The sequence below is a fragment of the Homo sapiens genome, chromosome 1 (assembly GCF_000001405.40).
Source record: "Homo sapiens chromosome 1, GRCh38.p14 Primary Assembly".
Lineage (NCBI taxonomy): Eukaryota > Metazoa > Chordata > Mammalia > Primates > Hominidae > Homo > Homo sapiens.
Genome location: NC_000001.11, coordinates 234,848,029 through 234,865,127, shown reverse-complemented (window position 1 = coordinate 234,865,127; position 17,099 = coordinate 234,848,029). Strand labels below are relative to the sequence as shown.

General features: G+C 45.0%; 1 long non-coding RNA gene across 2 annotated transcripts in view, besides 2 other annotated features; it reads left to right on the top strand.

Annotated features, from left to right (window-relative positions):
• LOC107985365 (uncharacterized) overlaps positions 1–17,099 on the top strand; it is a 63,991-nt gene that overhangs the window by 11,699 nt on the left and 35,193 nt on the right. The window lies entirely within an intron of this gene.
• Positions 13,292–13,586: an enhancer, noted in NCBI's record as "tiled region #12865; HepG2 Activating non-DNase unmatched - State 10:DNaseD, and K562 Activating DNase matched - State 8:EnhW". NCBI's record gives its function as "activates a minimal TATA promoter and a strong SV40 promoter by Sharpr-MPRA in HepG2 cells, with weaker activity in K562 cells {active_cell/tissue: HepG2 | K562}" and the evidence as "EXISTENCE:reporter gene assay evidence [ECO:0000049][PMID:27701403]".
• Positions 15,632–15,926: a silencer, noted in NCBI's record as "tiled region #4610; K562 Repressive DNase matched - State 5:Enh". NCBI's record gives its function as "represses a minimal TATA promoter and a strong SV40 promoter by Sharpr-MPRA in K562 cells {active_cell/tissue: K562}" and the evidence as "EXISTENCE:reporter gene assay evidence [ECO:0000049][PMID:27701403]".

Here is a 17,099-nt window from a genome sequence, read left to right as displayed (position 1 = left end):
GGTATAGTGAGCCTGGCATGGAGCAGGCACTGAATTGTTTGGTGACTGAGGGGGACTTGGTCTTGCATCCTCCATCACGCTGCTCAGAGAGACGTGGGGCAGAGGTTGTGCTGTGTGTGTGTGTGTGTGTGTGTGTGTGTGTGTTTGTTTGTTTGTTTCTTTCTTTTTATTTTATTTTATTTTTGAAACGAGTTTCACTCTTGTTGCCCAGGGTGGAATGCAATGGTGCGATCTCGGCTCACTGCAACCTCCACCTCCTGGGTTCAAGTGATTCTCCTGCCTTAGCCTCCCGAGTAGCTGGGACTACAGGCATGTGCCACCACGCCCGGCTAATTTTGTATTTTTAGTAGAGTTGGGGTTTCACCATGTTGGTCGGGCTGGTCTCGAACTTCTGACCTCAGGTGATCCGCCCTCCTGGGCCTCCCAAAGTGCTGGGATTACAGACGTGAGCCACCATGCCTGGCTTATTTATTTTTATAGAGATAGGATCTTGCTTTGTTGCCCAGGCTGGAGAGCAGTGGCATGATCATGGTTTACTACAGCCCCAAACTCCTGAGGGGGTGATCCTCCTGACTCAGCCTCCTAAGTAGCTTGGATTACAGGAATGTGCCGCTATGCCCAGCTAATCATTTATTTAGAGATGGGGTCCCATCGTGTTGCCCAGGCTGGTCTTGAACTCCTGGCCTCAACTGATCCTGCTGCTTTGGCCTCCTAAAGTGCTGGGATTACAGGTGTGAGCCCCTTGCCCAGCCTGCACTGTTTTCTGGAGCTCACACTTTCAGAAAGAAATAGGAACACTGGAGTGGAAGAATGGGCGTGGATGAAGAGATTGATGGGGACTTCCAACTCATGCAAGCAAGTGCAGCATTTGGCAGGGGAGGCTCACAGCACATCCCACTTCTGCAAGTCACCAGTGGGTCTTTTCTTGCCACAGGGATCCATCTAGGGGTCCAAGGTATGAAGTGAGTGGGAGGGACTTACAGAGAGACACACGTCAGCTCTGCCTGGAGAAGGATGTCATGGATCTCAGTGGCACACCCAGGTCTCAGAGAGGCAATGAGTTGCTTGTCACAGGAGTTGTTTATTCCCAGCCAGGTGGCTGGGATGGGAGTCTCAGGAGATGAGAGGACTATACTGTTTTTTTCCTGGAGAGGTACATTTCTCTAGTCTGTGGATCAGGCTCCTAAAAGTCCTGCGGAGGCTGCAATTCTGCTGCTTCCCTGCCATGGACTGCCAAATGGGCTGGGTGAAGGAAGGTCCTATTCTCAATGGCATTTCCAGGACCTCTCTGTGTGTGTGATCTGGCTACTTTAGACAGCAATGGTATATTTGCCTTGGCTGATGGGAGTCCCTCATCCCTTGAGCAGTTTTGTGGAGAGCAGGAGAAATGTATCACAGTGTCTTGACGCTCCTGAAAAGCGTATGAGTCACTAGTACCAGGGAACCTGGCGTCCTTTTCTCAGTCATTGAGCTTGCGAGCCAGATCCGAATCATCTTTCCTTCTGCAGTCCTTAATTATGGGGGAAAAAAATGGACTTGTAGAAACCAGTCCTGTGTTTCTGGATGTGGAAGGACTCTGAGCTTTCTCTTGGGCAGAGGGGTTGGAAGGGGACAGGGCACAGAGGGCAAGGGCTCTGCATGATGCCCAGGGGAGTAGAGTCCAGCCTCCAGCCTCTTGTCTCCCAGAGCCCTCCCTGGTGGTCAGTGTTGTGGCCTTGAGCCCCCAGTAGGCCAGTGCTCACTTGGATCCTGCAGCCCAGGCTGGGGCTGGGGATGAAATCTGTGGCCTCCATCAATCATAGCAAATGCATTGTCCCCAGTCGATGACAAAAGGCCAGGAACTGGAACCTCCCCAGACCGACTCAGCTAGTTCACTTGGCTAGAGCCCAGGCTGGTGGGAACCGGATGTTTTGTGGAGGATTGGCGTCTCTCTCCCTGCCTGTGCCCCACGCCGCTCAGTGCTTTCCCTTGGAGTCCTCAACCGTGGAACCGGTGCATTCTTTCCTGGGCAGCTGCTCTGCTCACTTCCAACATGTTGTGCTCTGAGCTCATAAAATCAGAGGAATCAAAGGCAGAAGCTGCAAGCGCTCAGGCCTGCGGGGACCGGCGGCTTTGGAAACTCCAGTTTGCTTTCTTCTTTCCATGTGTGGCAGATGTGCCTGTCTCATCTTGTAGCGCCTTGGCCAGCTTTTGCTTTTCCGCAGAGGAAGGTAAAGCAAAGCTGTGGCCAGAGACCCCTGAGGCTGGAAAAACGTTTAAAGCCCGAGGGGGAGGGCTGCCCTCCCAATGCAGATAAAGGAATGAAACAATAGAGCAGTTGTCCATTTGGAATCCTGGGAAAAGCTCAAAATACGACAGGGAGGTCAGATCAGGCTGGACCCATCTGTAGCACTGAGGGCTGGAGGGGGAATGTTCTGGGCTTGGAAGGCTTCTCTTTCCCCTCTGGTCTCATGAGCCTACTGTCTTATTAATGAATTTGGTTTGCCTAGAGGTCCTGACTCAGTGGCCAGTTTGGTTCCAAAGCAGGTAGTGGCCCCTCTTGAAAAACAGCTGCCCACCTGTTGACCTCATCTTTTAAAAACATGCAGGACATCCATCCACGTGAGAGATCCCTGTGGGTCTCATGGGCCATCCCTGGCTGCCCCTTCATTCTTGACCCTGCCCCATCCCTCCGGGGTCACATTTGGATCTGGGAGAAATATTTGGCAAATGTGAAAATGATAGGTTTAGCAAGAGCCTGAGGAACTGGTAGGGAAAGACTTGTTTCGTTCACGTTTACTTTTTGAACAGATAATTCATTTTCTTGGTTCACAAATCAAAACTATAAAAACCATGACTTCTACCCTTGCTCCCATTAACCCCAACCCAAGTAACCACTTATATTAATTTCTTGGGTGTCTTTATGATATACAAACAAATGTGTGTGTATAACTTTGTACATATATATTTTTTCTTTTTCTTTCCCCCTTTCACAGAAAGGAACTGCAGCGGCCTTTGAGAGAATGAAAAAATACTCAATCTCACTTAGGTTCAGAGACATGCAAATTAAAACTATAATAAAATACCCATGTGGCAAGGCTGACAGAAGTTAGCATTCTGTGCAAACTGGTTTGGACTTTGCTCTTTTCACTTACCTGTGTATATATCTTGGACATCTTTCAAATCAGTACATAAAGAACGTCCTCATTCATTTTTTACAGCTTAATAGTTTCCTAGTTATGGACACATCGTAAATTTATCTAACTGGTTTCTATTACAGACATTTGATTTGCTTCCAATCTTTTGCTACTACGAACCATGCTACCCAGGATGCTTCCTATACATGTAGGTATACTGGTAGAATAAATTAAGGCAAGTGGCATTATTGAGATAAAGGGTAAACATATTTATAATTTTGGTAAGGGTTTTCAGACGTCTTCAACAGAGTGTACACTATGCACTGCCACTAGTAAAGAATGAGAGTCTCTCTTTCTCCATAGCCTTGCCATGCAGGCATTTCATTGTAGTTTCAATTTGTGATTCTCTTATTAAAGTGAGATGGAGCACTCACTTTAATTCCATTCTTTCAAGACCCATTTGCATCTCCTTTTCTATGAGCTTCCTCTTCATCTCCTTTGCCCATCTAAAGAAAAACTGTCTTGTTCACTTTGGTCTTTTTCCTTAACCATGCCTAGTAGCTATTTGTGTGTTAAGGAAAGATTGGCTCTCTGGGATATGAGTCACTCCACATTATTGTTTGTCTTTTAATTTTGCTTATGTTTTGTGGATGTCTAAGTTTTTTAAAAATTAGGTGGTATAATATAGTAATCTTTTTTTTGTATGAATTCTGGATAAAAGAAAGGCCTTCTATTCTCCAAAGTTCTAAAGGAATTTGCCGATATTTTCTTCTAGTTCTTCTATGGCTTCTTTTCTTTTCTTTTCCTTTTCCTTTTTCTATTTTTTGAGACAAGATCTTGCTCTGTCACCCAGGCTGGAGGGCAGTAGCACAGTCTTGGCTTACTGCAGCCTTGACTTCCTAGGGCTCAGGTGATCCTCCTGCCTCAGCCTCCTGGGTAGCTGAAATTACAGGCACGTGTCACCATGCCTGGTTAATTTTTGTACTTCTTGTAGAGATACATGTTGCCCAGGCTGGAGTTTTCATTTTTCAAGAGTTTGTATCTTGGCCAGGTGGCCAGGTATGGTGGCCCATGCCTGTAATCCTAGCACTTTGGGAGGCCAAGGCAGGTGGATCACCTGAGGTTGGGAGGTGGAGACCAGCCTGACTAACATGGAGAAACCCCATCTCTACTAAAAATACAAAATTAACTGGATGTGGTGGCATGTGCCTGTAATCCCAGCTACTCAGGAGGCTGAGGCAGGAGAATTGCTTGAACCCAGGAGGTGGAGGTTGCAGTGAGCTGAGACTGCACCATTGCACTCCAGCCTGGGCAACAAGAGCAAAACTCCATCTCAAAAAAAAAAAAAAGAGTTTGTATCTTTAATCCATTTGGATTTGACTCTGGGGAAAAATGTGAGGCATGGATTGAACTTAACTCTTTTCCAGTTGTTCTGATATCGTTTAGTAATACCATTCCTCTAGTGGTTAGAGATATCACCTTCATAATTTACAGAATCTCTGATTATAATTGGGTCTATTTCTGCATTTTCTAGTTTATTCCATTGTTTGGGATGTCTGTCCGTTGGCCAGTACTATGCTGTTTTCATTACTGAGACTTTACAATACACTTTGAAATGTGATAGAGCTATTTTTTCTCATTCCTTTTCGTTTTGTTTCTTGCTGTTTTTGCTTTTCCTTTCTTTTTCTATTCTTTACCTGGCTATTTTTTTTTTAAATTTGGAATGGAGAGCTTTATTTCACATAAAGGGCTGCAGCCTGCAGGGTGGCCATTCTGACAGGTTGGGAAGCATAGTCTCTGGCCAGAAACCAGAAACAGAAACTTTGAGAGTCAGAAGAATAAGACAGATATTTATATTAAATGGGGTTGTCAAATATACATATTCAATAAGCTGGAGGAGGAGTCATGAACATTTATGAAAGGAGAAACATGCGTGTGTGCAATTGAGCTTCATGCCTCTCTAGGGGACCCATGTTCAAGACATGGCAGTGGGGTTAGCACAATCCAAGGGTGGGGTTTTTGGTCCTCTGACGTCAAATGGTGAAGCAGAGGACATGGACACCCTCTGCACATCCTGCTTAGACTGCCTGGCTATTCTTGCTTGTTTCATTTTTCCATATGAACTTTAGAGTCAGCTTATCTAGGTTTTTTTTGAAAAAGATTATTTGTATTGAGGTCACATAAAATTTATAAATTCTTTTTAGGAGAAGTGATGTGGTAATGAATCTTTCTCTCTTAGAAGGTAGTATGTGTTCCCATTGGTTCTATTGTTCCTTTGCATTTTTAAAGGTTAGTTTCTCTCTTAGGCATTTTGCATGCATGTTAGTAAGTTTATTTGAAGGTATTTTTTGTGTTGCTGTTGTAAAAAAACCCAAACAACTCTTGAAGGATACACCATTTTTCTCACTCTATCCTCTGCCTGGTTGATACTTGTACATAATACTGTTGTTATCTATTACGTTAGTGTGTACCATGCTACCTTTTTTTTTTTTTTGAGATGGAGTCTGGCTCTGTTGCCCAGGCTGGAGTGCAATGGTGTGATCTCAGCTCACTGCAACCTCCGCCTGCCGGGTTCATGTGATTCTCCTGCCTCAGCCTTCTGAGTAGCTGGGACTACAGGGGCACACCACCACGCCTGGCTAATTTTTGTATTTTTAGTAGAGACGGGGTTCCGCCATATTGGTCAGGCTGGTCTCGAACTCCTGACCTCAGATGATCCTCCCGCCTCGGGCTCCCCAAGTGCTGGGATTACAGGCATGAGCCATTGCACCAGTCCCATGCTACTTTTTTCAGAAAGCCTAATTAATGTAAAGAATACAAATGTTATTTGGGTAAGTACCCAAAATGAGTATTTTAGAAATTAGAAGAAGGCAGTCCCAAATAGATTTTAGGAAAACCATAATTGGGGTGGGATGCTTAAGAGTGTGCTTCTTGAGAATTAGGGATCCTTCAACATGGTGGAATTTGAGGGATGTAACATAATTTCAGGAACTCATTCTGCACCAAGAATAAAGATGTGTGAGAGCACAAGCAGTTACCTGCAAAAGAATTTGTGATGAGCTCATCTGTGGTTGGATTCCTTCAGGTCCTAGAGCACAGAAGTGAAATGCCAAAGGCCTAAATTCAGTGGGAAGCAGGGTTCTCACTGGCTACAAAACCTGCAGCTTCAGAAAGGAGCAGTGCAGGGGGGCACTGGCCACTGAGGGCCATGGGTCCTCAGCTTTGACCACCCCTCAGAACTCATCAGAGCAAAGCCCCCAGCTGTTTCCTCTCTTAGAGCATGAGGGAAAGAAATGGAGATCTAGCACTCATCTGTTCCTTTGGAGATGGAAAGAAAAATGGAATTCACAGGTGGCCTTCAAGAGCCCAGTGAGAAACAGTGAGCCCATTCTGCTCTGTCTCTGGGATCAGTCAAAGGCAGAATGGGCAGGTGCAGCCCCAGCACCCTAACACCTTTAGTGCCACCAGTATGGTTTATCCAACCAAGGATTTGGGGTTCTTCTGCGACTTGGGGCTCTTTTAGGGAACAAAGTTTATTTTCTTCTTCGTCTTCGTCTACTACAAATAAGAGGAAGGAGGGAGCTGTTACTGCGCACCCATGCGTTATGCTTGGTGCAGTCTGTATGTCCTCAAGGCATGCCTCGAAATCATTCTCTCTGCTTTTATGGATGAAGAAATGAAGGCTCAGGAGGGCAATTAACTTTCTGAAGGCAACTTGGCTGGGAATTAGCTGCTGTAGGGTCCAGGGAGGAGGAGGATGGAGGTAGTGGAGCTCTGGACACCTCCTTCTTCTTGCTTGAATGAAAGCAGCTCCGCGTTGTGTATGGGTTTCCCATTGAGCTATGCTTTGAAGAAAGGATTCTACTTGGAAAGAGTCTGTGTTCCCAGACAGGTCTATTCTATGTTTCTCAGCCCCAGAGATGGGTTTTGAATTTGCAGCACCTCCCCACTCCTACCCCTACCCCAACCCCCGCTCATACTATAGCCCCCACTTTGCCTAGTGGATTGGAGGGGTCCCAACCCACTGAGGAGCAGTATCAGGTGCTGAAGGCTCAGAGGGGACTCAGGGCTGGGAGATGGCAATGGCAGCTCCCAGCCAAGCTCTGGTCCTCTCCAACCGATTGCCACAGCCAGCTTCAGGCTGGAAGGCTCTGCAGTGGAGTGAAGCTGACATTTCTCTCAGGAACTACAATGGGGAAAAATGCTGCCAGCCACCCTCTCCCTACTCCCTCCAGACCCTGACAAAAGGGTTCCCCAACCAACCGTACCAGTTACTCAGCAGTGTCTTTGATAAGAATTAGAAACTCAGGAATTACTTCAACCAAGCTGATGGATTGTAAAGGTACTTGAGCTCATTATATTCTCTTCCAGACTGACTTTTCTTTTGCACTTAATGATGAATAGTCCTTGGTGCTTCTGTGATCTTACTCCAAGATTTTAAAAAATCCTAGGAATAAGAACTTTTTCTCTTTTTTAAGAGAAAGGGTTCTACTCTGTTGCCCAGTCTGGCGTGCCATGGCGTGATCATAGCTTGCTGCAGCTTCAATCTCCTGGGCTCAAGAGATTCTCCTAGTTCAGCCTACTGAGTAGCTGGTACTACAGGCATACCTGGCTAATTTTTTCAATTTTTTGTAGCGATGAGGTCTCACTATGTTACCCAAGCTGGTCTCGAACTTCAGCCCTCAAGCGATCCTTCCACCTTAGCCTCCGAAAACGCTGGGATTATAGGAATAAACCACCATGCCTGGCCTAGAACATTGTTATTAGCATCATCATTACTATCCTCCTTGTCCTATTCTGGCTTCCAAATTGGACTGCGTCTAACATTGATGGCTGAAGCCAAGACATCATTCTTATCACCATGACAACAAACATAATACTGAATTAAATAATCGGCTTTTATAGGAAGTGCTCAGTGCACTAGGCCTGATACCAAACTTGAGAAAACTCAACTTTAGAGATAGGAAAAAAGGACTATCTAGAGAGAAGAGGTCATTTATTCCACATTTCTTGCAAAGATAAAGGCAAATTCTGGAAAAACACTGCGCTCTGCTCTCCCTGGTGATTGTGAGCAGTTACAGCTTGTGAAGATCTCACATCCTGGGCAGAATTCCATGGCAGGAGGGCTGCATTTTGTAGTCAATGACTGGGCTGCCTGTGGATGGGCAGCTGTGTTCAGACCTGAGCCTTCATCCTTTGTATTCTTGGACTCTTGTCATGGACCAAGGGATGCAAGAACCTCCTAACAGGCCTTGATCTTTCCTCCACGGGAACAGCCTTAAACTTTTGGGGAAAGTAAGGCAACAAAATGAGCAGTGCTAACGCAATGTGTAATCTGTTGCTCATCAGCGGGAAGACTTTTATTCAGTGGTCTAAGCATTTTACAAATAGTAACTTATTTAATCTTCACAGCAATGGTCCCACTTCAGTATTCCTATTTTCAGATGACAAAACTAAAGCACATATCGATGACATAACTGGACTAAGATCACACATCCAGCCTGTTGCAGAGCTGGAGTGGGAGCCCAGATCATCTGGATTCAGAGTCCATGGTGCACTTATTATTCTGGAAGTATCTAGTGCTGTGCCCTTGGCTTGGCAGTGTGGTTCAAAATCCAATCCAGCGTGGTTCATGGTCCCTTCCCTCTAGTAGCTTACAATCTCTGAGAAGCTTATGTTTTGAAGGTTTTGCCTTATAAGGACCTGTACCTCACTTAGTCTTCAGCCCTCTTTACAAGTACATTGAACTCACTTAGTTACAAGGATTACAAACAAATACTACAGGGATGTGATGGGTAGTTGTGTGTGTGTCCATTCCGCTGGGCTATGGTGCCCAGTTGTTCAGTTAAACACTACTGTAGATGTTGCCGTGAAGGTGTTTTTAAAGATAACATTAACATTCAAATCAGTAGACTTTGACTAAAGCAGATGGCCCTCTGTAGTGTGGGTGGGCCTCGTCCAATCAGTCTAAGGCCTTAAGAGAAAAAACTGATCTCCCCCAAGGAAGAGGGAATTCTACCTCCAGATGGCCTTCAGACTTGAGACTGCAGCATCCATTCTTCCCTGGGACTCTAGCCTGCAGCCTGGCTTGCACATTTCAAACTCACCAACCTCCACAATTAATTGAGCCAATTCCCTAAAATAAATTTCACTCTCTTTCTCTATCCATACTATTGGTTTTGTTTCTCTGGACAATCCCGACAAATACAAAGGAAAACATGACATTCTGGGGTCTCACTAAACAAATTCTTCAGTGGTAAATAACTTCCGTAGATGGGTAGCTAGAATACAAATGAAGACATCTGAGAACTGTGGAATCCTCTTTACGCTTTCTGCAATGCTGATGTGCGTTATGGTATGTGAGGAATAAGTTGAATTTGAGAAGGCAGAGATTCCTTATTCTGAAGTGTCTCAGCCAGGTATTGGCTCTTACCATTTCAGCCGCAGAGATGGCGCTCCCATCTGCAAGGTTGGGCAGGGGTCCTCTCCCAGTCCTCTGAGATAGGTGAGCAAGACACAGAAATGGCTGTGGGGGGACCAGCCTGAACACTGGTTGATGAGCAATGCACAGAGAATTCGCTGAAAGTACTCTCGGGGACAAGAGTGCCCCCGAGGGACTCCATTGGTGTCCGAGAGTAATAGAGTTCCTGCAGAGAGGAGACCGCAAATGGCATTTGCCACAATTTACCCACCTCAAAATAGTGACAACACCAGCCTTTGTGAAGCAAATCAAGTGGGAAAAAAAATCACTTTTACAAAATGGGAACAGTGCCTCTTAGTGCCACGTCACAGTGATAAGCACTTGGATCTTATTCTGGGTGAGAGTCAAATGAAACCCCAAATGTTCTTTTGAACAAGACTGTTCCACTTAATAGAACTGCCACTCAGTGAGTCCTGTTGTTCTCCCCACGGGCCCCTTGCTGAGCCTTGGAAGCATCCTCACAGAAGACTTGAAGCTTTGCTGATTTAAAGCATCCTCCTGCTCAAGTCTTGGCCAGGAAAAGTCAGGTGGGAACCCATTTGTGACTCAAGCCCCCACCTATCAATAGAGCTGGGTTCTTAAGTTCGTTTGTGAGTAATGTGTTGAGATGAACTGGATCTGTTATTCCTAGTGGCACCCTCAGCTGTGTCACTGGTGGAGTGGGGGCTTGGGGCTGCCTTGGAGCCCAGTCACCACTAAATGTGTTCCTCATTTACAGGTCACTTGTCATGCACAGGTCATCCAACCATCAAGTCTTGCCCCAGTCAAAGAGGATTGGGCCTTCCTGCCTCAGTTAGCTGAACCTGTGAGCTCCTTGAAGGCAGGGTTGTGTCTTAGATATTTTAGTATCCTCAGATGCCTTGCACAGTTAGGGCTGAGAAGAAGGTCAGTCAATATGTGCTTGATTAAGTAAAACCAACCTCTCTGCTCTCTGGAAGCCTGTTTTCTTCTGTTTGGTTTGAAGTGGTTAATGAAGTCTTGGCTTGGGTAGAGCCTTGGCTCTAACTGAGATTCTGTGATCTACTGTGAATTATAGGGATGTACTCTGCAATGAGTCGTGAAGCTTCTGGGGCAGAAAGGATGTGTGGGTGTGCTTACAGAGCAGTCCAACCCTGTCTCCTACCTCGGCCTCAAGCAGTCTAAGGGAGTCTGGTAAGGGAGGCAACCACAGCATTTGGGAAGTTCTTAAGGTCACCGGCTTCCCTCTTTTGAGACAAGTATCAGAAGACTTGAGATTTCAAATGAAATGTCTGCTTATTCTGTTGTGTGGACAGCTCAGGAGTTCACATATGAGTAAAGAGGATACTAACCACCAGCTACTCTCTTCAAACCATGTACACTGTCCATTGCAGTAAAGCATTTGTCTCTGTTTTGGAATAACTTACGAAGTTGATGACCCCTAGGAGTTCTATAAGAATTTTGTCAAGTCATCTTATCAGAAACTTAATTTGTAGGGGTAGGCACAGTGGCTCACCCCTGTAATCCCAGCATTTTGGGAGGCCAAGGCGGCGGATCACTTGAGGATAGGAGTTTGAGACCAGCCTAGCCAACATGGTGCAACCCCATCTCTACTAAAAATACTGTGTATATATATATATCCCATCTCTACTAAAAAATTGACCTGGGTGTGGTGGCGCATGCCTGTAAACCCAGCTGCTCGGGAGGCTGAGGCAGGAGAATTGCTTGAACCCAGGAGGCAGAGGTTGCAGTGAGCTGAGATCATGCCACTGCACTCCAGCCTGGGTGACAGAGCGAGACTCTGTCTCAAAAAAAAAAAAAAAAAGAAACTTAATTTGTTTTGGCCAAGGAAAACAGGGCTTTAAGCACCCTTAAATCAGATTTGCTCTTTTATAATTGTTTTGTCAAAGGGACTTCTCTGCTTTCATTCTCAGCCACCTCTGTCTTTGTCAAGTGGCTCACGCCTGTAATCCCAGCATTTTGGGAGGCCAATGCAGGTGGATCAGGAGGTTAGGAGTTGAAGACCAGCCTGGCCAATATGGTGAAACCCCATCTCTACTAAAAATAAAAAATTAGCCGGGCGTGGTGGTGTGCGCCTGTAGTCCCAGCTAGTCAGGAGGCTGAGGGAGAAGATATACTTGAACCTGGGAGGTGGAGCTTGCAGTGAGCTGCACTCCAGCCTGAGCAACAAAGTGAGACTCCGTTCCCCCCAAAAAATTTTACTGATGAAACTTGGGCCAAAGGCTTGGGCATGGACTTCCCAGGGTAGGGAAAGAGGGAACAGGCAGGGTTATATTTACTCTTATTTCCCTTGTTAAGGCAAGGATGCTTAATTTTAGTGGTGATGACGATAAAAATGATGTTAACTAGCATTCACTGAACATTTGTTACGTGCTTGGCATGGTACTAAGCACTTTGCGTGCATTATCTCACACAATTCTCCCAACAGCTCTACAAAATACACTCTATTCCCCCACCCCGAATTTTATATATGAAGGTGTGAAAGGAAAATAAATCTCAGGACCGCAAAATCACTAATCCAAGGGAAAAGTCAAGCCGGGAACTGCGTCAGGCAAACCTGCCTCCCATTCTATTCCTAAATAAGATAGCTACAAAGATAAAAAAGCTACAGATCCCTTTCACAATTTGCCCACCAGGAAATTCCTTGTGGTCTGCAAGATCTTTACCCTAAAATGGTTCTGTTGAATTACCTGACAATGTAAATGGATAGCTTATCTTCATGGGTGCAGGACAAAGGACAGAACTCAAAGTCATCCCTCTGCTCACCTGAGACAAAAGCATATCTGATTGTTTTTTTCTGATGTAAAAATGAAGGCATAAGTGAATATTCCTCCACCCCCTCACATGTAAATTGTCTATTTAATGAAAAGCTGAACAAAGACTCAAAAGAATGCAAAGTTTGTCTCTTACCTACCCACACCTTTAAAAAATTTCTTCCTTTTCTTCCAATATCTGCCCTTTCCCCTTTAAATAAGCCTTCAAAATCATCTTTGGAGAAAGGCACAGACCTTCCTCCAGGGCATGTGTCCTTAACCTTGGTAAAATAAACTTCCTAAATTGGTTGAGATTCCTCTCAGATATTTTTTGGTTTACAGAGCAAACCGAGGTTTAAAGATGCTGCGGTAGCATGCCCAAAGATCTATCTTAACTGGGGACACAGAAGCAGACTCTCAGATGAGGATTTGTGTGCAGGAGATTTGTAAGGAAGGGCTCCCTGGAGGAACCTGGTAAAAGAGTTGGGGAAGCTGGTCTGGGAAGGGGCCAGGGATGATCTCAGAGGGTGGCTTACACCTGATTCTGCAAGCAGGGATGGCTGCAGGGCCGTGCGCCTGTGCAGTCACACGGGCCCCACACTTAGGCCTTACACTTGGGTTGATGCTCTGCTGTTGTTGCTGTCTTGAAATTCTTCATACTGTTTGAACAAGGGATCTGCTTTTTCATTTTGCACTGGGTCTTGCAAATTCTGTAGGGAGTCCTGTCCCCAGGGCAGCTCTAAAGTATAAGTGCCTCAGAGCTGCCCCACCCAAGGCAAGGAGCTGGGGCTGCATGCTCTCATCATCAGCCATTCATTGGTCATCTGTTAAGGGCTGCCCCAGGGGGACATATGTTCCTGCAGGCTATAGGTTCCTTCTCTGTGCAAGCAAAGCAGCTGTACTACTCTGCAGGCAATACTGCTGATAAAGAGCTGCAGGTGATGGCTGTTGAAAGTGAAAACATTCTTAGGGGCCTCAGGATTCAAACCTGGGGCTGGAGTTTCTAACCCCTCTTCCTGCCAGAGGTCATGTGCTTCCCTGCCCTGCAGTGACGGTGGCTTCAGTTCCGCTATGAGTCCTGGAGTCCTCGGGCTCCTCCTTCCCTTCTTTTTGTCCACTGCTTCTGATTGTGGATAAAAGGGGAAGTGAAAGAATGATAAGGAAGATTGGGCAGTGGTGCAAACTGCTAGGAAAACCATGATTCACCTTCCTGGAGACAGTCCCTCTGGCCTGGGTGGGCCACCCACCGATCCATGATGATGTCGCCATGCCAATCATGCCAGTTCAGCCTTCCCTTCAGATGTGTAGTCCTCAAGTGTTTTCTAACAAAACACACATATATATGTTTTTCTACTTTGTCATCTCCTGTGAATTTCTAAGAAAATGTAATTCTTTTTTTTTTTTTTTGGACAGGGTTTTGCTCTGTTACCCAGGCTGGAGTGCAGTGGCATGATTGTGGCTCACTGTAGCCTCTGGCTCCTGGGCTCCAGCCATCCTTTGGCTTCAGCCTCCTGAGTACTTGGGACCACAGGTGCACCCAACCACACTTGGCTTTTATTTTAATTAAAAAATTTTTTAAATTATTTACTTATTTATTTATTTTGAGATGGCGTCTGGCTCTATTACCAACACTGGAGTGCAGTGGCACGATCTCAGCTTACTGCAACCTCCACCTCTCAGGTTCAAGCGATTCTTGTGCCTCAGCCTTCCGAGTAGCTGGGATTACAGGTGCATGCTACAACTCTCAGCTAATTTTTGTATTTTTTTGCAGAGACAGGGTTTTGCCATGTTGCCCAGGCTGGTCTCGAGCTCCTGACCTCAGGTGAGCCACTCACCTCAGCCTCTCAAAGTGCTGGGATTACAGGTGTGAACCACCATTCCTGAGCTTTTTAAAAAAAATTTATTTTAATTTATTATTTAGTATTTTGTAGAGACAAGGTCTCACTATGTTGACCAGGCTTGTCTACAACTTCTGGCCTCAAGCAATCCTCCTGCCGCAGCCTCCCAAAGTGCTGGGATTATAGGCATGAACCACAGCACCTGGATGAAAATGTAATTCTTACGGCCTTGAGTCTTTGTGTTAAGCTCCTCAAACCGTGTGTTTTAAAGAACTTTTAAAATTTCAGGCTAAAAAATAATAATGACATGTTTGTTCTTGGCAGGCCGGGTGTGTCTGTGCCTATGTATGTAACATGCATATCCTCTATTACTGCAGTGTAAAGATTCACGCAAGTGTCATTAGTTTTACAGTTCTATACAAAGTTTACCAGTTTTAACTCTAGGGTTAGGTTGTTGAAGGCTTGACTGAAGAGTCCTTCCGAATGGCACACTCATGAGCCATTACCAGAAGCTTTTATGGGCAGAGGTGGGCCGATCACTTGAGGCCAGGAGTTTGCGAGCAGCCTGGCCAACATGGCGAAACCCCATCTCTACTAAAAATACAAAAATTAACTGGGCTTGGTAGCACACGCCTGTAGTCTCAGCTATTTGGGAGGCAGAGGCAGGAGAATTACTTGAACCCAGGAGGCGGAGGTTGCAGTGAGCCAAGATTGCGCCACTGCACTCCAGCCTCGGTGACAGAGCGAGACTCCAAAAAAGAAGCTTTGATGGAAGGGAAAACAAGCAGGCATACAAAATGGTCCCCTGAAACACCGCATTTGCAGAGGATGGATTCGAAGTCAAACAGCAGGGACTTTCCTTCTTAAAAATTATGACTCCTGCAAACATGTCCATGGGTTGCTATGCAACAGGCACATCCAGTCAATACAGAGCACATAAATTAGCAATAAACGTGAGGGCGAAATTGCTTTCTGATTTTTTCCACCAGAAACTTCCTGGAAATGTTCAAACACTTCCTGCATATCTGTGCCACGCCTGAAAAAGTGTCCCTCTCTGTTCAGTGGGCACCAGCTCCTAAGAGCGTTTAAAGATCTTGACTTTGAAAGTTTGACTGCTTGTCCTAAGCTGCTCATTCATCCCTGGGTTGCTGTCCTCACCAACTAGACCACGTATGGGAGAAGAGTGAACCAGGTCTCTTCTAGAATGCAATGCCAGGACTTTAAAATTGCTATCCTTTGTCCCCTTTGTGTTCATTATCTTAATGACCCATTACTTACCTCATCTTACCCTCTTCCTCTTATCCTTAGCATTTTTGCAGTGTGCTTACTTTGTCTTTTAATTAGGTCTGATTCATTGGGTAGCCAAGGTGATGCACTCATCCTGCTGAAAAAGAATTCATCCATGTGGTTCATCCAGGGCATCTGGCTAAAACCCAACACACAAACCACTGCTAAACCTCAGCCTTCCTTGCATGGGAAAGCAGCAGAAAGTTCTCTCTCTTTTTTTTTATTTCCACAAAATCTACATCCTCAAAGCACGCAGAGAAGCAAATGCTGGCTAGAAGTGTCATTGTTTACTCAAGACACTGTACAAAAAAAGAGGAAGGAGCAGACGTTTGGCCACCAAAGCAAATCTGAAGGAATCTTCGAAGGAGGAAGAGTCTAAGAATTTAAGAGGAGGCCATGATGACACGACCATTTTTTGCATCTTTAGGCAAGCCCTGATACTTAATGTCCCTTATTTAAGCCTTTTATGCACAAACATCTTGTCACCTCCACATCACAGCTAGTCCCAGCAAGGAGAGAAACTGGCCAAGATAGGCGTTTTCAGGGAGTTTTCTAGGGAAATGAGGAGAAGTGTGAGTAGAAGGAAGGAGACATGCAGGCTTGGTGGACACTCCGGCAATGCTCATGCCAACCCATGTGGGGAGCCCTTTCTGAACTCATCCCTCCAGTCCCCCAAGTACCACTCCTGTTACCATGCCACACAGAACAGAAATCCCAGCTTGGGAAATAGTGTCCTCAACTATTAAAGAATTGATTTTTTTTCAAAGACATCCAGAAGAGGAGACTCCATACCCTCCCATTCCAGTATGAAAATCGTGACTTATATCCAAATAGTCTCTTTCCAAATGCTTATTAATTTTACTTCCTGGGAAATCTCCTCTTTCAACCTAAACTAGGATAGTCGCAGATAGTTCCTATAAAAACTCTCTCTAGATCTACTGCAGACTTGGCTCCCAGAACCAAATACAGACTTGCAGTCATTGTATTCTCTGTCTCTCTCATCTGCCACTTCACCTTGGTGCACCATGTTATCACATCTAACCCCACACAACCTTGGAAAAACTACAGATGAAAAATTTCCATTTTAGTTTTGATATTACAAGCCTGTTTTGAAACTCTGAATTTTTAGTCCTAAAAATGGTACTATCTAATAGATGTTGTGATACTTTTCTGTCTAATGGACCAAGATGGCTGCAAATACAATGCAAATAGACCAATTAACTCCACATTTCCTCAGAAGTCAGGGTAATAGTGAAAAACTGTTTTAATGGATAGAATCCATTATCATCGAGGGCCATAAACTTGAGTCTTTGAAAAAATAATGAATCAGATAGTTTCATACTAATATTGCTCCTTTTTCCTCCCTTTTAAGGTACCTTCTAATATTACCCGAATCTCCTGATAATGAAAGAATTGAACAATTAGATTGATCATGAAAGGTTTTACAGTATCTTTTCCTCATTATACCTATTATAAGGGCCTTGTCTAATTTGAAGGACCTAGATTTTTTAAACTGGTATTATTGTTTCTAGCTGTCTGATTTGTACCAATATTCAGATATCACTGATACTTCTGATGGTGAGTGTTTATCTAGATGTCTTTGAGAAAGGCATTTTTCTTGCCACTGTCTGTTTCTCTCTCCACT